Source organism: Homo sapiens, chromosome 3 (assembly GCF_000001405.40).
Source record: "Homo sapiens chromosome 3, GRCh38.p14 Primary Assembly".
NCBI lineage: Eukaryota > Metazoa > Chordata > Mammalia > Primates > Hominidae > Homo > Homo sapiens.
In genome coordinates, this window is record NC_000003.12 from 116438850 (window position 1) to 116461302 (window position 22453).

At 39.9% G+C, this 22453-nt stretch overlaps 1 protein-coding gene across 4 annotated transcripts in view; it reads right to left on the reverse strand.

The window, feature by feature from the left end:
- The window catches only part of LSAMP (limbic system associated membrane protein), a 643114-nt gene extending 636476 nt beyond the window's left edge, over window positions 1-6638 (reverse strand). For all 4 annotated transcript variants that reach the window (NM_002338.5, XM_017006383.3, NM_001318915.2 and 1 more), the window contains exon 1: window positions 6028-6638. In NM_002338.5, coding sequence (NP_002329.2) covers window positions 6028-6182 — 155 coding nt within the window. In that variant the 5' untranslated portion in view covers window positions 6183-6638. The remainder of the gene's footprint in view (window positions 1-6027) is intronic.
- Between the last annotated feature and the right edge of the window lie 15815 nt (window positions 6639-22453).

Below are 22453 nucleotides of genomic sequence, written 5' to 3' on the forward strand. Positions count from 1 at the left end.
AAATTGTGTAACAAACAAATGGGTTTATGGTGGTCTATTTCCTCTCTCCCGTTTGAATTTGTTCATCTTTGGCTACTGATATATTTCTCAAACGATACAATGTGACTCCAATTTTTTTACTGATATCTATTTAGTGCTGCCCTGAAAGTGATCTGTAAAGGAGACTCCTTATCCAGTTAGGCATTGGTTTTTACCTCTATGTACATAGCAGAATCATTAAAAAACAAAAGAACGACAACCTGTGCCCAGTCCCTTCCCCAAACAAACTACATCAGAATTTCTGAGAAGAGAGGATATGTGGCAGCAGTATTTTTTAGAAGTTCCCCAGCTGATGGTACTGTGCTCCCGTGGCTGTGAAGTATCGAATGCAGTGCTTCTCCAACCTCAATATGCTAGCGAATCGCTTGGAAGTCTTATTAAAATGTGGACTTTGATTTAGTCCCTCCAGCATAGGTCCTGAGATTTTGTTGTTTTTTTTTTTTAATGCAACTATGTGATACTTAAGATGCCCACCTGTGGATCACACTTGTAGTATCCTGTAGTATCAGCATCACCTGAGAACTTGTGAGAAATGCAAATTCTCAGACTTACCAGGGACCTACTGACTCAAAAACTCTAGCGATGGAGGTCAAGCAATCTGCTATAGCAAGCCCTCCACATACACACTGAAATTTGAGACACACTGGCCTAAAAAAAAAGAAAAAAGAAAAAAGAATTCTCTGAAGTCTAAATAACTGGCTGTATGTGGTTGAAAAGCCGTTGATTGTTTACATTTGTGTAGCACTTTATAATTCAACAAACTTCTACCTTACCTCCTGTGAACGTCTTAAAACAACCCTGTAGGGTAACTAAAATAGATAGTTTCAGCATTTTTATTTATTTATTTATTTTTGAGACGGAGTCTCGCTCTGTCGCCAGGCTGGAGCGCAGTGGCGCGATCTTGGCTCACTGCAACCTCCGCCTCACGGGTTCAAGCGATTCTCCTTTCTCAGTCTCCTAAGCAGCTGGGACTACAGGTGGGCGCCACCACGCCCAGCTAGTTTTTGTATTTTTAGTAAAGATGGGGTTTCACCATGTTGGCCAGGATGATCTCAATCTCTTGACCTTGTGATCCCCCCGCCTCAGCCTCCCAAAGTGCTGGGATTACAGGCGTGAGCCACCGCACCCAGCTGACAGTTTCAGCATTTTGTAAAGGAAAATGAAGCTCAAAGTATTCAAGAGACTTGCTTAAAGTTACAGCATGCAAGGATAGATCCAAATTCAGAGCCCAGATCTTCTGAGTCGTACAAACTAAGAGGTAGGACATTGAGAGAAAAACAGGGCCAGTGGCTATAAGCTGTAAATTATGCCCTGGAGGAGGGATATCTCTGAGGCTCAGATGATGACAGGGAGAGGGACAAGGATATTGAGGCAACCTCCTATCAGGGGAGTCACAGCCCTTTGTATTTGGCACTCTCAGAGACCAGGGTAAAATGCACTAATCCTTTTTGGGCAGAGTTTGCTGTTATGTGGAATCAGCTTTGAGAAACACAAAGGTTTAACCCTCACCAGTGACTCAGTGGATGAGTCAGTCACCTTTGGTTCTTTCCACAATTCTACAAATACGTCATTCTAAGTCAAACCACATAAAATAAAAATCTCCTGTGTATTGTATGTGTGTATAAACCCACTTATATGTCCCATACTTACAGAAACACAGGTGGCCACAATTTGCTTTTCTTGCGAGATTTGCCCACTCTGTTTCTCAGGCCATAAATGACAACAAATGATAAAGCTCACAGGTACATAAATATTCTTTAACAAAATGTATATAATATGCCATATTCCTAGATGATATATAGTATGCTATACTCCATCATTTACTAAGTATATTTGATAAAGGATTTATCTGCAATGCACGATCCTTACAGTATCAGGGCTAACCAACAAATTTTGATAACATTTAGTGATTTAACTACAGAAAAAGAAAATTTCATGATGGTCACAAACTTACCCAGTAGGCCCATGCCCACAGTTTGTTTCAAATAGTGAATTGTAAGTCATAGAAAATCACATATCGTATCAAGAATTTGAGGGTTGACACTTCATTAGTGAATATTGCCATTCCACATGATTTACAGAAGATAAACAGAAATTTGAACAAGATCTTTATATTTCACTATCAAATAATCAAATCTCCTTTTGTTGTTTCTTCTTTTCCCCCCTTGGTGTAGAAACAAACAGGGAATTAAAGACCCCAACTTTGAAAAAACTAAACATTAGCTATTCTTCATTTAGATACTTAGTTTCCTTGGGAATCTGTAATACTTGTTAGGTACGCTAACATTTAACTGGGAACAATGTTATTATCATTAAAAGTATTATAATATCCTGTAAACATCAGATAGGGTCAGAATTGTGAGCTAAATAAAATTTTATTACCTTGAATTTAGAATATTTAAAATCACAAGTGTGAAGTCCCTGTATTTTATCACATGCCTACTTGTTTTATATCCAGATACGCATGTGTATGTACGTTTTACAAAGTTGCCTTATGAATAGATATGTGATAATATAATGTATTATAAAACTAACATGGTTCTTTGTGGCCAAATATTTTATTATTATCTTTTCAGAAATCTGCCACTCATGTTGAAAATATGGTCAGTAGGACTATTAAAAATGAAATTTTAAAGGTTGGTTTGAAATACCCTCTATTTCTGCTATTCTTTGACTTGTAAGAGAACTATTAATACATAGTCTCAACCTTCCAATATTAAGCAGGAGGTGAATCTCTATGGGTATGAGGGTAGGAGGGAAGAAACAGTGTTAGAAACTTATCCTGTAATTGAACTCTTACTCCTGTGGGAGCTGGTAATGAGGCAGGTAGACTCTGTTTAGAAAAGCACCTGAGGCAGCTTCATGACTGAAGTCCTGCGGATAAGCGTGTCTCACTCTTTCCTGTACACACAAATATAAATGCAGATTCTGGTTGTTCTATTTAGGGAGGACCGCCAAGGCTGCTGCTGCTGCCGCCACTACTCTGTGAATCACACTTTGATTCTTTGTCCCTGGGACAGAAGTTGGTATTGTGGTTATCTTTAGTTCTTTATATAATTTCTCACACAGGTCTGTAATCTCCTCTAGAAAATAATTGAGTTAGGTATGTATACATGAAGCTACCTCTCTTTCCCTCCAATTTTGTCACCATAATTATATAGTTTTTATTATTTTCAAAATGATAGAAATTGAGGGCAAGACCTGAAGCCTAGTGTGCACTCTCCTATCTGATGCATAATTACACTAAAGATCATAATTATACAAAAATGAGCATCAATCCCCAAAAGAAACTCTTGTTTCACAGAAAACTTTAAGTCAGTGAAGGTAAATGTTTTGGGGACAGACAGCCAAACTCCTGTCACTGGATTACCAGAATTACAAACCTCCCTTGTCTCCTGTTGCCATCTCATATCATTCGGGGCCACAAACTCACTAAGAGAATTATTTTTTTCTCCTAGCCATTTCACTTTCTCGGTGCCAGACATCTACTGTGGCTTCCAATGAATCAAGTTCTCCTTCCTTTCCTTCCCTGAAAGCTCATGCACCCAGTAAAATGTCACAAATAAAGTGAAAACACACCTTTCCCAGGCTGGCCTTATAAGCAGAAAGCAAGAGCACCATTCTTCACCAGGAAACTGACCCAGAAAGCTTACCGGTTTTAAAGAGATTGAGAAGAAGGTCAGCTAAGAAGACAAAGGGAATTCTCTCCATAGTTAATTCTGATGAAGCTCCACCAACCCCAAAATAAACCCTTGTCCAAGGCAAGGAAATAAAAAAGAGGGCATGTAAGGTGAGGTCTGGAAAAGAAATGGTGTTTCATAGGCGACTTATTTGCATGCTCTGTTTGTCTGTCTTTTCTTTCCCAGAGAATAAGTGGTTCTGTGTTTATTTTTTCTCTCAGAGTCCCTATTTCCACACTGTAATGTCTGCTAAAGCGTAATGTTTAAAACTCTGTTTCTATTGCGCCATAGACATACAAAAGCACATATGTATCATCCATAGATATGTATACAGTGAGACTGCCTCTGTATGAAAGCATAAGAATGTTTTTATTCTTCTGAATTAACATTTCTATACTTATCTAACTCTTAGACAACTGTAGTTTAAGGTATAGGAGATGCTAACTTAGAAAGACCTTACAAAGCTCAAGGACACTGAAATAAAAAACATATACATTCAAGTTATTCATTTTTCTCATATTCAATCTTGTAACCAGTGAACAAAATTTCTAGGGATAGCATATATTTATATAGAGTGCTTCACCATTAAAGGGTTAATGATGTTAGGGAGTATGAATGTTAGCAATTGAAATGGCATGCTTGTGTGTTTGCAAAAACATTTTCTGCACCATGTCCAAATTCCTTTGCAAACAGATAAATTACTCTGTAAATCTGATTACTCCATGTGGATAAATCACACATGCAGGTTTATAAGGCTGAAGAGCTAGAAGGGAAAATCTGCTTTGGATAGTAGGATCTTTGGGATTCGTAATCACCCAAAGCTCAGGAAATGAAGAAAGGAGTGCTTACACATTAGCATTTTCTTACTTTTTACAATCTGGAGAAACACATACCCACACAACACACACACATGCAATGCACGGCACACAACACACACTTTCGTCTCTAACAAGGCTAGAGCTCCCAAAGCAGGACACTGTGACAGCCAACCAAATTTATTTCTGAGAAAAGGAAAGAAAACTTTGCTGCTGTCGGCAGCTCTGCTAGAGAACTGCTCCCTGATGCCCCAGGGTTTATGCACTATCAGCTCCTTGCACACAGATTAGAGGTTTATTTTCTATTGTATACTGTGTTTTTATTGCCACAACAAGCAATATTACCTAGATAGACAGACTGACACTGGGTCATTTTATTTGGAGGAAATGAGATTTTTAAAAGATCTCCAAGGAGAGTGATTCTTTCTTTTTGTTAGCATCTGCCAGAAATTCAAGGAAAGCTAGAAAAAAGAACAAGGGGTAGGTACAGTTGGTGGAGAGGAGGAAGAGAAAAGAGAAGCACAAAAAATAACCTTGGAGCATTTTAGAAATAAAAATATGACTAGGTCTCATTTGAGTCTCTCTAGCTCACAGTACCTGATAGGGGTCAAACTCCCAAGGACTTGGGACTCTTCTTTCCAAATTTCAATCTCAAATTATTTTAGAGTTTGCCAGAGCTGCACAGAAAAAAAGACTTTGAAGTCAATAATCAATTTGAAATATCCATTTTATGCCAGGTTAATTCTCTCCCAACCTCTGTGTTTAACACTCCTACTCTTAAATATCAGCAATTTGGCAAATTCCTTTTCTTTCTGCTCTTCATATCTTGTGTTGATTTATATCCACATTCCAGGAAAGGCTCAGTAACCAACCAAAGTTCTAAGATTGATTTATTGCCCTCCATGTCAATTAGAAGATCCTTACAGAAAGTCTTCTATCAGAAACCCTCACACACAACCTTGATATGTGTGTGTGTGTGTGTATGTGTGTGTGTGTGTTGGCATGAAAAACACACACACACACACACAGACACGGGAGGAGCAAGGAGAATGCAGTACTGTGTACTACTCTCTGAGAGCCATAATCCAACAACCTTTCTTTCAGAATTAAGGACCCCCAACAAAACTCTCAAGTGCAATGCCACAGCAATTACAATAGTGAGAATACTGCCCAGAAGTCACTAATGCCATGGGTGAAGTTAGGCTTCCTTGATAAGAGAAACAAGGTCCTAAGAACCGAACAACATTTAACCAACACCACTGCTGCTTGACAGGGACCAGAATTCCCTTGAATTTTGTTAGCTATAATGCCAACCAGTCAGTAAAACAGGGACACACACACACACACCACACACACACACACCACAAGCCTGCAGCATCAGGAGCTGGAGTTCAAGGAGATCAGACACACACACACACACACACACAAACACACACACACACACACACACACGTGTAGACGCGCGCAGCAGAAAAGTTGCCCGAAAGCCCTACCTGAGGATGGCTGTGTCCCCCTGCCTCACGGTGATGTTGTCCGTGCCTCGGTTAAAATCCACGCTGCGAACAGGCAGTCCTGTGGGAAGAAGGCAGAGCAATCTCAGTAGGACCAGTGGCAACTGTTTCCGATCCGGCTGAACTCTCCTGACCATGGTGGCCACGCCGAGGTGCGGGTCCGCGGGGTGCTCTGGAGGGGTGCGCGCTGCTCGCGAGGAGAGGCTTCACCAACACGGGGCTTTCATCCACAGCGAGCGCAGAGCGGGCTTTGCCAGTTTATGGTCCTTTCCACTTTGCCTCTCTCTTTCCCTCGCTCAGTCTCTTTTCCCTCTAAGACTTAACAAAGCCCTCATAAAACCCAAGCAGAAGGGTGAAAAGTAAAAGCAACACAATTTCAAAAGAGAGAGTGCAAATAGCAAGCCCTCTGGAAGAGCTGAAGAGGAAGCCAAAGGAAAGGGTTCTTGTTTGGTCTCTCTGTGACTGGATGCTCCTCTGCCAGTGTCTGAGCTGAGCTCCTTCGCTCTGTAACCCACTTTCCCAGGCTGGCGGGCGGGCGGGCGAGGGAGCCGGCACCAAGCCTGCCAGTGAGTGTACAGAAACAGCCACACAGCAGCAGCAGCAGCAGAAGCAGCAGCAACCCAGAGCCTCTCTCCCCCTCCTCCCTTTCCTGTTTCTCCCAGTCCCTGGCGCTCTCTCAGCTCAGCACCTCCCCCCCACCCCCCCACCCTCCCCCCACCCTGCTGGTTTTCAACAGCCCCTCCACGTCATCCCCTCCGCCCTCCCCTCGACGTGGCCCCTCGCTTTGCACAACTGCCCCCTTCAGCAGCAGCCAGCCTCAATGAAAGCCTGATGCGCCTTTGGGTTGTCAGGACGACAGCTCCATCTGAGGCCTGGCTGATTTCCTTAAGAAGGGGGAACGGAGCTTAGAGGTACTGTTCAGGAGAGAGGGGAGAAGGAGAGGGACTTAAGTTATAAAAGAACAGGAGAAAGAGTCCAGGAAAGGAGAGGGAAGGGGTGAGGAAAGAAGAAAAAGGAGGTGGGAAGGAGAGTTGCAAATGAGGGGAGTGGGACAGAGGACAGGAAAGCTTTGAGGTGGGGAGTGAGGGTGGGGAATGTCCTGAAAGATGGGAGAAGGAAACTGAGGAGAAACTTGACAGTGGAGTCTAAGATTAAAAGCCAAAGTTGATTTCAAACGAAACATTCTTGGCAACTGGCTTTGCGTGTTCAAGTCTTGTTCATTCTTTCCTCTTTCCTGCACTTTCTCTTACAGGATTAAAATGGTTTATTTTCTCTCCTTCCTTCATCCCCTCCCCCTCTTGGAACCCCTTTATGAAAGATGGATTGGAGACAATGCTGGTATTGAGTGGTCTGGGGTGTGAATGCTTGGCTTGTTTTTTCCAAGTGCCAGCCTCAGCAGCTGATCCCTGATCCCTAAATCAACTTCACTCTCCAGGAAACTCTCACTCAATCCTACACATGAGTAATGGTATTAAGGATTACTATTTAAAGGGCACATTGAATTGCTACCCAAGTTCCTCCTGGCACTTACTTCTCAAAATGTTCATATGCAAGGAAGGAGATTTGTAAATCAGAAAGCTTGTCATTTGCAAGGAGACACTAAGTAAGGTTGTGTGCAGTACTCCTGCTAATGGCAGACAGGTTACCATCATTTGTCACTCCTTTTATTCCATGAGCCAAGCAAGTGATGAGGACCATAAAGACCACTGATAGTCACTCAAGTGACAGCCCCACACTCTTGGACATCTCCCTCATTACTGATGTTGAGGATAAAAAATGTGTTTGTACCAGCCAAGGACTTTATTTTTCTCTTCTTTGATTATATTTATTTAAATAATGAAAGTATTCATATGGTACAAAAACCAAATGGTACAAGATGCTATAGAGTGAATTGCAGTTTTCTTCTTCTTTTTTTTTTTTTTTTTTTTTTTGAGACAGAGTCTCACTTTATTGCCCAGGCTGGAGTGCAGTGGCTCAATCTCGGCTCACTGCAAGCTCCGCCTCCCGGGTTCACGCCATTCTCCTGCCTCAGCCTCCCGAGTAGCTGGGACTACAGGCGCCCGCTACCACGCCTAATTTTTTCTGTATTTTTTTTAGTAGAGACGGGTTTTCACTGTGTCAGCCAGGATGGTCTCGATCTCCTGATCTCGTGATCCACCCGCCTCGTCCTCCCAAACTGCTGGGATCCCAAACTGCTGGGATTACAGGCGTGAGCCACGGCGCCCGGCCGTAGTTTTCTTCTTATTCCCGTCTTTAGGCAACCCATTTCTCTTTTTTGGAGGCAACATATATTTTAAGTTTGTTATATATCTTTCCATAAATATTCCATATATATAAAAATAAATATGTACATAGATATTATACCCATCCCTCTTATGTAAGCAAATGTTTAGCCTAGGACATTTGCCAAAAATAAAATAAAAAGAAAGAAAGAAACATGTTTAGGAATCCTTATCAAACCCCACCAGAGCACAAGCCTTAAAGAAACACTGTGCTGAAACTGGCTTGTCCTCAGAATACTCAAAGCACTTTTTCTGCGCATGTTTTCAGTTTAAAAGATAGATGAACTCTTACAGATTACGTGAGGAAAAAAAGGAAGACCTATTTTGCTTTTAAGAAAACACGGAGGATTGGAACCTGAATTGTCACAAATCCATGATTGATGGAGTTCAATTAATTTTATGTGTACTGTGCATTCATTTTATATAAATCAAGGTGTCCTATGTCAGGGATTATACACAGTGCCCAGTTAATAAACCAATGTTCGACCACTAAGTTATAACTCAGCTGTTTAAAACTTGGAATCCATTTTGCCATAGGAGAAATAGTTAGGCCAAGTGGATAGTTGACTAAAAAACTCATAATCCTGTGAATCCCGGTATCAATGGACAAATGAGCTTCAAGTGCCAAACAAACAAACAAACAAACAAACGAAGATCAAAGATGCAAGGATTACATAATTTTCTGCCAAGATTGCAGAGAAAAGAGCACCCTCCCTTTCCCCACACCACCAACAGACTTGACCATCCTTGTCAGGCTAATTTTTTTGTTTGTTTGTTTTGTTTTTTGTTTTTTGTTTGTTTGTTTGTTTTTTGTTTTTTTTTTTTATACTTTAAGTTTTAGGGTACATGTGCACATTGTGCAGGTTAGTTACATATGTAAACATGTGCCATGCTGGTGCGCTGCACCCACTAACTCGTCATCTAGCATTAGGTATATCTCCCAATGCTATCCCTCCCCCCTCCCCACACCCCACCACAGTCCCCAGAGTGTGATATTCCCCTTCCTGTGTCCATGTGATCTCATTGTTCAATTCCCACCTATGAGTGAGAATATGCGGTGTTTGGTTTTTTCTTCTTGCGATAGTTTACTGAGAATGATGATTTTAAGCACTTAGGAATGAAGAGTTGGCTTAGACAAAGGCTTCGATTAACATATATCCTTTGGTTTGGTGCTTCTTCCATGTCAAGTGGAAGAAAAGAGAGATAAAAGGGACTGGTAGCTATGAGAATCATCTGTTTCCATTGCTGGTGCTAGGTGAATAGTATGACCCCCAGTAAGAGCAGAGATACTCTGAGGGGAAGGATTAGACATTTAAAGAGTATAAGTATTCTCCTGTGTCAGTCAACTAGATTTTGTATGAAGAAAGGAAAGTTTTTTTCAGGACAAGGAGGAAGTATGGTGGCTGGTAGCATATCATAAACAGAAGATGTTTATACATGATTGTTAGCTAATACCTATACTGGTAACCTCATACTACCAGAAGAACTTGCCTGGTGGTGCTTGGAGAAAACATATGTTTAACATACTGTAATATGAAGTAATTTACATCAAAGTAGTAGGAATGTGGAATTTGTAGTAACTCAATCAAATCTGGAATTTGTCTCTACATTCACTCTGAGAAATGGATATATTAAAGTAAATCTGGATTGTAATCAGAATTATAGAATTGCCTAACCTACCTAATCAGAAACAAATTATAAACACATATGTGTATAAAAATCATATAATGTAATTAAAGGTTTTTAAAAATATCTTTATTAAATAAAGTCCATTTCTTGGCAGCTTTTGTTAAACTAAATTGACTTACTATGATGACTGAAAGTAAGATGCAATTTTTTAAAAAGACAATATTTTAAAAATTCCCTAATTTAGGCTGTTTAGAAATTATTTCTAATTCAATTAGACTGAATCAACAATTTCAAAATTACAAAGTTTGTTTTATTCATTTAAAATTTATTATTTACATCCAGGTAGCACTTCAAGTACAACTCTTTAACCCAGCCCTTGGCCCAGAGGGAGTACTTTATACTTGATAAATATAAGAACGGAAGAGTGATTAAATGCTTATGCTCACTTACTTGGCTTACCTCACCATTTACAAAATAATAAAAGTATTTGAGGGTGTACCATCTACTTCCATTTCAATATTATGCTTTCTCAGAGTTCTTCCTCTTTTCACTTACTGATAGAAATCTTCTGGTATTTTTTCCTCCATTATCTCTCGTTTCCTAAGAAATCCAACAGTCAATATACATTGGATAATGTATCTCATCCTAGTGGTCACTCCCCTAAATCTACCCTGATATTAACTTCTCTGCTTTCTTTCTTCGGAAATGTAGAGAAGGAAACAAATAAACGTGTGGCTGAAATTTACACAAGCTATTTTTTTGTAAACCACTATATACATTTTTCCAAGAGGGTTGGCAAAAATGAACATACTTTCAGGTTATTTGTGAGGCAAGTGTGGCTGTTAGCCATGTGAAACAGCCATCATCACCCAAGTAAGATGATCTTAACTACTACTTTAAAATAACATACTGCCTTTCTAAAAGAGGCTTTAGAAGATTCTGGCACTCTTCAGGGACAAATGTTGCAGGAAAAACAAAAACTGCCTAACGTCTGAGTACCCTAAGAAGCATGAAAGGTTTATTCTTCTGTTTAGCTTTGTAAGGTAATAGGCTCACATGAAATCCAGATGCAGCCTGGAATGTGCAACTAATTTAGCAACACTGCTTGCATTTTATGCTAAACATGTCTATAATATTAATATACTACTCTACATTTCTACAGTTGTAAGGTCTTAATCATAATAACACCATGCCTGTACCTTACTTTTCTAAGTGGAATTAACATTTCCATATGAACTAGAAATGCAGAATTGCTAATACTTTTCCTTAGGATCCGTGGTATGACATTTTCAATGATTTCATCATAATTTAGCAATATTCAAGTAACCCAGTTTATGCTTATAAACATAGCACTATCTTATATGAGTTTTCTCTGGAATCTAGGCCTTCCAATACAGACACTTCATTGGCATGTGTGTCACTGCCTAAGAAAATCAGTCAGCTGCAAGTCAGTTAAATATTGTCCAAATCTTTACTATAGACCCCCTCCCCCAGTGATGTAAAACACGTGGTCCACATCCTACACAATTAAAAAATCACTCTTTGGTTTGCATTTAGTGCATGTCTTTGTGGTTTATTATTATCATATCAGTCTTTTGCTTCTAAGTAAGTATACTTTGGTCACTTGTTCTATTTTGGTAGGCATCAATGCTTGGATCTGTCCCAGTTTTTGAAAGGGCTTTGGGATTCTTAAACTGCTGCCTGCATCCTCACTTCTTGCTTCTGCTCCTGATTATGCATAAACATATATGTGCTTACACTTACTGATGCATTTGCACATCAGAAAAGTAATTTTCATGTGCCTTATTATTTCCCAGAAGTATATACACCAGCCCTTGGACCTTCCTCTTTTCTAGGTTGTCCACTCTGCCACCATGTACAAGGAGGTGGAAATAGCTAAAAACTGCTGCATCTGCATTGCTACTACGCTTTTTGATCTACCCCCCAGATACGGGAAGAATATTGCAACATCTGGAAAGATGACAGTAATGGCATCTTCAGTATAGCAACATGTTAGTATAAGCAGGTAATCAGGAAATTCTACCCCCTATTTGTGGTTGTTGTAGTAACTTGAATTCCTACAATCTGAAAATAGACCAAGGAGAACTGAGGAATAGTGGAGGTGGGTGTACAATTCCATATTCTGACATGCCCAATAGGTTTGTAATTCATTCGTTTGATCAATATGCTTTTATTGATACAGTAGTGAATCAAGACAGGCCAAGACTCTCCTCTGTTGAACTTGTATCCCAGATGCAGAAATGAACACTATACAAGTACACACAGATTAAGATTATTTCAGAAAGCAAATGCTATTAAAGAAAAATGTGTGATACAGAGTAAATGGCCTGGAGATGTGGTGATGGGAACATAAAGAAAAGTGGCCAACCAACACCTCTTTGAAGAGGTTGGTATTTTAACTAAATCCCAAAATCTAAGGAGGCTTCCATGCAAATATCAGCACGAAGGCCTTTCCGGGTAAAAGAAATGGCATTCGCAAAGGCCCTGAGGTAGAACTAAGAGTGTCATACACCAGGAACCAAAACAAAGACAATAAACCTGTGATGTAGTTTGTGTGTATGTTATGAGGGTAGTTGGAAAAGACAAATAAAAATGAGAAAGTAAGGAAGGGTCATAATGAAAACATTCTGTGTAAGAAATTTAGATTTTAGTCTACTGACCTGAATAAGCAAGGGATTGACATAATCTGATTTACATCTTAGAAAGATTGAAGAGTGGACGGTAAAAGAGCAATAGCAGAAGAAAGGAAACAAGCCGAAGAAAATCGTAGTCATCCAGTGGCAACTGGCTTAGACTATGGGGTAAAAATGAGATGGAGAGGAGATTGAGTTGACTAGATTTGCTCATAATGGGGAAATCTTCCCCAAAAGGCCATCTGCTATCACAAGTGATCAATGTTTTCCATATGCCAGCACTCCTCCTCACTGTATTAATTCAATTCTGGTATACTCTTGTAGAAAGCCACCACTCATCAAATCATCAAATAAGAACTGACAGAATGTCAAGTAGGTTGTTATTAATACCAGCTAGTCAAAAAAAGGTGCTCCAGTTGCTGCTTTTCTTTAAGTATAAACTTTGCTTGCCATTAATATGTTTATTGTATGTTAATTAAATATCAGTGTAATAAGCCAGTGTGTTAGAAATTAAGAAGTGCATAACAAGAGGAACAGATGCTATGTAATTATTAAACTTTACTAAATATTTCCTTACATATCTATATTTATCAGGCAATAGCTATCCTGCTAAATCTAAATAAAATGCCTAGTCAAATATCTTGAGGCTATAAGTCATGTAAATAACACTAATATGTTTTCTCCAGAGTTTACTGACAATATCGAGCTGCAGGGCAAGTTCAGTATTAGGTCATTATATTATTCAAAGGGTCCCAGAAGTCGACCTGCTTAAAAGTATCTTCCTTTCTTATCTTGTCTGTAATTCACATTCTCACATGCTTTTAATATTGAGTCTAAGAGCATTGCCTGGATGAGAGGAAGAGGATTCACAAAACCTGCCAAATCAGTTGTGTTGCCATATATGAGAAAGTTCATTAAATTAATGAATAATTCTTGAGACCTATCATATAACAGGGACTGTGCTAACCTCTAAGGAAACAATGATGTACAAGACTGACCACCCTGCCCTTCTGCAAGTCTAATGGGGAAATGGCATTAGAAACTCCTTCCAGAGAGGGATTAAATATTGTCTTTGTAAAATTATAAGGCAGACCTTTCAAACTTGCTCTTCAGTATAGAACAGAGGCAAATGAATCAATGTATATGTCCAGTCTTCTCTTTGATGCTGATTAGTACTGAAAATACCAAAATTCAGAGTTCTCATTTTCAGGAACCCAGAAACTCATGAGATAGAGCAATAAGACGAACACACATGAAGCACAGAATAAGATTCATCAGTGAATAACTGAGGACTGAATTGTAAGGGAGCAGAATCGAAATGCTATGGGAATTCAGAAAAGGAATCCAGTAAGGGGCTTTGTGGAGAAAATGGCATTTTAGGTTATCGTTGAAAGGTGTGTAAGAAAAGAATGGAGGAAGACAACACTTTAAGCAAAGTATGGCCATGAGAATCAGTCTGCAATAAGAATGGAGCTGCAGGAAGTCTCACCCAACTAACAGAAGGAGAGGAGAGGAGCAAGAAGGTGGGTTAGAGAAGCTGCCTAATGAAGAATCCTGAATGCCTGAATGAAGAGTCACGCTTCATCTCATAGTTAGAAGGCCACTTTAGATTCTGGAGGAGGGAGGAGAGATACTGACATCTTAGGGAGCTTATTTTGGCAACGGGAAATTAAAAAGTAGAACAAAGATGAAGTAGAATTACTAGTTAGAAGGCTAATAAAGTTGCTGATGAAATGATGAGAGGCAAACTTTATCAATTATATATACTGTTGCTTCCTATTAATGATGAGGAATGAAATCCTTCATTCAGAGACTTCACATTCATGCGGAAGGGCAAGTTGTAGGAAAGTGTATGAGGGTGGAGATGGCAAAAAGTTAAAATGGAAAGTGACTCTGCTTCTGTAAGTTGGGGCTAGTGGGGGTCTTGACAGGCAAGTTAATGAGTTTGGCCTTTATTCTGTATGCAGTATGGAGCCATCAAAAACTTTGAGCAAGGAGTATTTTAAGAAGATAACTGGCAATGGAATGGAAGATAGATTGGGACAAGTCACAGTCAGGGAAGACCAGCTATAAAGTTTCTGAAATAGCACAGGCAAGAAATGAAAAAAGCAGACTACAGGGCAATGGCACTGAAAAGAGAAAAGAGGTGAAAACTTTTAGGGAAATTTCACAGGACTGTTGGGACTTGTCAACTAACTGGATATGGAAGTTGAGGACATAGGAAGGGCAAAAGATGCCTCTCCTTTTCTTTTCTTGAAGTCCAGGTTGATAAAATAGAAATGTTGAGTTAAAAAAAAAAAAAGCTAGATTCAGAGGGAATTTGGAAATTCTACTTTTAGAATTCTGGATTGGTTCCTAAATTGGTACTCAAATAGCCTGCACTTCCAGATGGACAGGCTCAGGAAGTTGTCTTAGGAATATGACATTCTTCACTGGAGAGCTGTCTCTGCATTCTGTAATAAACTAAGACCAGAAATTCAGATTCTTTCCCCCATATTTGTCTGTGTTTTTTTTTTCTTTTTTTTTCTATCACATGTTTCTGTTACTTCAATATATTTATATATACAGCATGTTGGCAAGTGACCTATTTGCCAATAATGAATCTCATTTTGATTTTTAAAAACACATCCATATAACAATTAACTGATTCTATGTTTCAAGAAGAAATATCATCTGAACTTGTCTCCCTCTGCTGGTTGCATATTGAGGTATCATGAATCTTTTTAAACCATAGTAATATTAGAAATAGAAATATCCAATGATAATGTGTTTTGTTCAAGTATAGAGCTTTGCGGTTTGCAAATGTATAGTGACACACATAATTTAATATGGTATCTTCCTGCAACTTTGTGAGATAAACAGTACAAGTATTATCACCCTACTTGTCAGAAAATTACTTTGAGACTTTAAGCCAGTAAATCTCATATGAAATTAGAGGAAAATCAGGAAGCATATGTAATTAGAAGAATTGCATACTGTTAAAGATAGAAAAGACCCAGAAAATTTTCTTGTTCAGTCCTCCGATTTTACAGCTGAGACATGGAAACATAGACTTTACACAGTTATTTAGGATGACTGAGATTAGTACTTAAAAAGCCCAACTCTCAAAACAGTGCCCTTTCTATTATACCATGCTGCCTGCCTAATAATATCAAGATATAAATCCTTTATAGCATAGCTAAAGCATTTACATAGGTAGTCTGGGTTGTAGATTGAAAATGTCTGTTTCTCTGAGGCCAAATCTACATTGCATCAGAACAACCCACAGCTATGTTAAACTTATAATAAAGTAAGAAACAATAGGAAAACAAAACCAAAATAAATGGAATTCACACCAGTTGGACAAATAAGTAAAGCAATCCTCAATTACCTGTTTGAATAGACTACTTGTCTGTCCAGGCTGGGGCTCTATAACCACAGACAAGGCTTGAGATGATATTCAGGAATGCCAGAGTATTATAGACTGTGTTAGTAGAAGAAATGCAGTGAAATTTTCTCACCCTCCCACTGCCTGGGGCACTCTTTTCTTCTTTCCTATATGTCCTACTAGAGAGTCTACTATGGCTTTCTGGCTTTTCACCTGAGTTACTACTCCTTAAAGTTACTCCCATTCTTAATGGATGTCACTATTCTCTCTTGGCAGGAAATAAAGTTTGATTGAAATAATGTATTCTTGTGTGTGAGTGACTGGTAAGTTCCAACGTCTGAAGGGATAGAAATATAATAAAAGGAACATTGGGAGGAGCCAAGATGGCCGAATAGGAACAGCTCCGGTCTACAGCTCCCAGAATGAGCGACGCAGAAGACGGGTGATTTCTACATTTCCATCGGAGGTACCGGGTTCATCTCACTAGGGAGTGCCAGACAGTGGGGGCATGACAGTGGGTGCAGTGCACTGTGTGCCAGCCGAAGCAGGGTGAGGCATTGCCACACTTGGGAAGTGCAAGGGGTCAGGGAGTTCCCTTTCCTGGTCAAGGAAAGGGGTGACAGATGGCACCTGGAAAATCGGGCCACTCCCACCCAAATACTGCACTTTTCCGACGGGCTTAGGAAATGGCGCACCAGGAGATTATATCCCACACCTGGCTCAGAGGGTCCTATGCCCACGGAGTCTCGCTGATTGCTAGCACAGCAGTCTGAGATCAAACTGCAAGGTGGCAGTGAGGCTGGGGGAGGGGTGCCCGCCATTGCCCAGGCTTGCTTAGGTAAACAAAGCAGCCGGGAAGCTCCAACTGGGTGGAGCCCACCACAGCTCAAGGAGGCCTGCCTGCCTCTGTAGGCTCCACCTCTGGGGGCAGGGCACAGACAAACAAAAAGACAGCAGTAACCTCTGCAGACTTAAATATCCCTGTCTGACAGCTTTGAGGAGAGCAGTGGTTCTCCCAGCACGCAGCTAGAGATCTGAGAACGGGCAGACTGCCTCCTCAAGTGGGTCCCTGACCCCTGACCCCTGAGCAGCCTAACTGGGAGGCACCCCCCAGTAGGGGCAGACTGACACCTCACACGGCCGGGTACTCCTCTGAGACAAAACTTCCAGAGGAACGATCAGACAGCAGCATTCACGGATCATGAAAATCCGCGGTTCTGCAGATACCGCTGCTGATACCCAGGCAAACAGGGTCTGGAGTGGACCTCTAGCAAACTCCAACAGACCTGCAGCTGAGGGTCCTGTCTGTTAGAAGGAAAACTAACAAACAGAAAGGACATCCAAACCAAAAACCCAACTGTACATCACCATCATCAAAGACCAAAAGTAGATAAAACCACAAAGATAGGGAAAAAACAGAGCAGAAAAACTGGAAACTCTAAAAAGCAGAGCACCTCTCCTCCTCCAAAGGAACACAGCTCCTCACCATCAATGGAACAAAGCTGGATGGAGAATGACTTTGACGAGTTGAGAGAAGAAGGCTTCAGACGACCAAACTACTCGGAGCTACAGGAGGAAATTCAAACCAAAGGCAAAGAAGTTGAAAACTTTGAAAAAAATTTAGATGAATGTATAACTAGAATAACCAATACAGAGAAGTGCTTAAAGGAGCTGATGGAGCTGAAAGGAGAACTACGTGAAGAATGCAGAAGCCTCAGGAGCTGATGCGATCAACTGGAAGAAAGGGTATCAGTGATGGAAGATGAAATGAATGAAATGAAGCGAGAAGGGAAGTTTAGAGAAAAAAGAATAAAAAGAAATGAACAAAGCCTCCAAGAAATATGGGACTATGTGAAAAGACCAAATCTGCATCTGACTGGTGTACCTGAAAGTCACTGGGAGAATGGAACCAAGTTGGAAAACACTCTGCAGGATATTATCCAGCAGAACTTCCCCAATCTAGCAAGGCAGGCCAACATTCAGATTCAGGAAATACAGAGAACGCCACAAAGATACTCCTCGAGAAGAGCAACTCCAAGACACATAATTGTCAGTTTCACCAAAGTTGAAATGAAGGAAAAAATGTTAAGGGCAGCCAAAGAGAAAGGTCGGGTTACCCACAAAGGGAAGCCCATCAGACTAACAGCTGATCTCTCGGCAGAAACTCTACAAGCCAGAAGACACTGGGGGCCAATATTCAACATTCTTAAAGGAAAGAATTTTCAACCCAGAATTTCATATCCAGCCAAACTAAGCTTCATAAGTGAAGGAGAAATAAAATACTTTACAGACAAGCAAATGCTGAGAGATTTTGTCACCACCAGGCCTGCCCTAAAAGAGCTCCTGAAGGAAGCGCTAAACATGGAAAGGAACAACCGGTACCAGCCACTGCAAAATCATGCCAAAATGTAAAGACCATTGAGACTAGGAAGAAACTGCATCAACTAACGAGCAAAATCACCAGCTAAAATCATAATGACAGGATCAAATTCACACTTAAAAATATTAACTTTAAATGTAAATGGACTAAATGCTCCAATTAAAAGACACAGACTGGCAAATTGGATAAAGAGTCAAGACCCATCAGTGTGCTGTATTCAGGAAACCCATCTCACGGGCAGAGACACACACAGGCTCAAAATAAAAGGATGGAGGAAGATCTACCAAGCAAATGGAAAACAGAAAAAGGCAGGGGTTGCAATCCTAGTCTCTGATAAAACAGACTTTAAACCAACAAAGATCAAAGAGACAAAGAAGGCCATTACCTAATGGTAAAGGGATCAATTCAACAAGAAGAGCTAACTATTCTAAATATATATGCACCCAATACAGGAGCACCCAGATTCATAAAGCAAGTCCTTAGTGACCTACAAAGAGACTAGACTCCCACACAATAATAATGGGAGACTTTAACACCCCACTGTCAACATTAGACAGATCAATGAGACAAAGTTAACAAGGATACCCAGGAATTGAACTCAGCTTTGCACCAAGTGGACCTAATAGACATCTACAGAACTCTCCACCCCAAATCAACAGAATATACATTTTTTTCAGCACCACACCACACCTATTCCAAAATTGACCACATAGTTGAGTGTAAAGCTCTCCTCAGCAAATGTAAAAGAACAGAAATTATAACAAACTGTCTCTCAGACCACAGTGCAATCAAACTACAACTCAGGATTAAGAAACTCACTCAAAACCGCTCAACTACATGGAAACTGAACAACCTGCTCCTGAATGACTACTGGGTACATAACGAAATGAAGTCAGAAATAAAGATGTTCTTTGAAACCAATGAGAACAAAGACAAAACATACCAGAATCTCTGGGACACATTCAAAGCAGTGGGTAGAGGGAAATTTATAGCACTAAATGCCCACAAGAGAAAGCAGGAAAGATCCAAAATTGACACCCTAACATCACAATTAAAAGAACAAGAAAAGCAAGAGCAAACACATTCAAAAGCTAGCAGAAGGCAAGAAATAACTAAAATCAGAGCAGAACTGAAGGAAATAGAGACCAAAAAAACCCTTCAAAAAATTAATGAATCCAGGAGCTGGTTTTTTGAAAGGATCAACAAAATTGATAGACCGCTAGCAAGACTAATAAAGAAAAAAAGAGAGAAGAATCAAATAGATGCAATAAAAAATGATAAAGGGGATATCACCACCGATCCCACAGAAATACAAACTACCATCAGAGAATACTACAAACACCTCGATGCAAATAAACTAGAAAATCTAGAAGAAATGGATAAATTCTTCGACACATACACTGTCCCAAGACTAAACCAGGAAGAAGTTGAATCTCTGAATAGACCAATAACAGGAGCTGAAATTGTGGCAATAATCAATAGCTTACCAACCAAAAAGAGTCCAGGACCAGATGGATTCACAACCGAATTCTACCAGAGGTACAAGGAGGAACTGGTACCATTCCTTCTGAAACTATTCCAATCAATAGAAAAAAAGGGAATCCTCCCTAACTCATTTTATGAGGCCAGCATCATCCTGATACCAAAGCCGGGCAGACACACAACCAAAAAAGAGAATTTTAGACCAATATCCTTGATGAACATTGATGCAAAAATCCTCAATAACATACTGGCAAACCGAATCCAGCAGCACATCAAAAAGCTTATCCACCATGATCAAGTGGGCTTCATCCCTGGGATGCAAGGCTGGTTCAACATATGCAAACCAATAAATGTAATCCAGCATATAAACAGAACCAAAGACAAACACCACATGATTATCTCAATAGATGCAGAAAAGGCCTTTGAAAAAATTCAACAACGCTTCATGCTAAAAACTCTCAATAAATTAGGTATTGATGGGACATATTTCAAAATAATAAGAGCTATCTATGACAAACCCACAGCCAATATCGTACTGAATGGGCAAAAACTGGAAGCATTCCCTTTGAAAACTGGCACAAGACAGGGATGCCCTCTCTCACCACTCCTATTCAACATAGTGTTGGAAGTTCTGGCCAGGGCAATTAGGCAGGAGAAGGAAATAAAGGGTATTCAATTAGGAAAAGAGGAAGTCAAATTGTCCCTGTTTGCAGACTACATGATTGTATATCAAGAAAACCCCACTGTCTCAGCCCAAAATCTCCTTAAGCTGATAAGCAACTTCAGCAAAGTCTCAGGATACAAAATCAATGTACAAAAATCACAAGCATTCTTATACACCAATAACAGACAAACAGAGCCAAATCATGAGTGAACATCCATTCACAATTGCTTCAAAGAGAATAAAATACTTAGGAATCCAACTTACAAGGGACGTGAAGGAGAGGATACAAACAAATGGAAGAACATTCCATGCTCATGGGTAGGAAGAATCAATATCGTGAAAATAGCCATACTGCCCAAGGTAATTTATAGATTCAATGCCATCCCCATCAAGCTACCAATGACTTTCTTCACAGAATTGGAAAAAACTACTTTAAAGTTCATATGGAACCAAAAAAGAGCCTGCATCGCCAAGTCAATCCTAAGCCAAAAGAACAAAGCTGGAGAGGCATCACACTACCTGACTTCAAACTATACTACAAGGCTACAGTAACCAAAACAGCATGGTACTGGTACCAAAACAGAGATATAGATCAATGGGACAGAACAGAGACCTCAGAAATAATGCCGCATATCTACAACTATCTGATCTTTGACAAACCTGACAAAAACAATCAATGGGGAAAGGATTCCCTATTTAATAAATGGTGCTGGGAAAACTGGCTAGCCATAGTACAAAGCTGAAACTGGATCCCTTTCTTACACCTTATACAAACATTAATTCAAGATGGATTAAAGACTTAAACGTTAGACCTAAAACCATAAAAACCCTAGAAGAAAACCTAGGCACTACCATTCAGGACATAGGCATAGGCCAGGACTTCATGTCTAAAACACTAAAAGCAATGGCAACAAAAGCCAAAACTGACAAATGGGATCTAATTGAACTAAAGAGCCTCTGCACAGCAAAAGAAACTACCATCAGAGTGAACAGGCAACCCACAAAATGGGAGAAAATGTTTGCAACCTACTCATCTGACAAAGGGCTAATATCCAGAATCTACAATGAAATCAAACAAATTTACAAGAAGAAAACAATCACATCAAAAAGTGGGCAAAGGATATGAACAGACACTTCTTAAAAGAAGACATTTATGCAGCCAAAAGACACATGAAAAAATGCTCATCATCACTGGCCATCAGAGAAATGCAAATAAAAACCACAATGAGATACCATCTCACACCAGTTAGAATGGCAATCATTAAAAAGTCAGGAAACAACAGGTGCTGGAGAGGATGTGGAGAAGTAAGAACACTTTTACACTGTTGGTGGGACTGTAAACTAGTTCAACCATTGTGGAAGTCAGTGTGGCGATTCCTCAGGGATCTAGAACTAGAAATACCATTTGACCCAGCCATCCCATTACTGGGTATATACCCAAAGGACTATAAATCATGCTGCTATAAACACACATGCACACCTATGTTTATTGCGGCACTATTCACAATAGCAAAGACTTGGAACCAACCCAAATGTCCAACAATGATAGACTGGATTAAGAAAATGTGGCACATATACACCACGGAATAATATGCAGCCATAAAAAATGATGAGTTCATGTCCTTTGTAGGGACATGGATGAAATTGGAAATCATCATTCTCAGTAAACTATCACAAGGACAAAAAACCAAACACCGCATGTTCTCACTCATAGATGGGAATTGAACAATGAGAACACATGGACACAAGAAGGGGAACATCACACTCTGGGGCCTGTTGTGGGGTGGGGGGAGGGGGGAGGGATAGCATTAGGAGATATACCTAATGCTAAATGACGAGTTAATGGGTGCAGCACACCAACATGGCACATGTATACATATGTAACTAACCTGCACATTGTGCACATGTACCCTAAAACTTAAAGTATAATAATAAAAGAAAAAAAGAAAT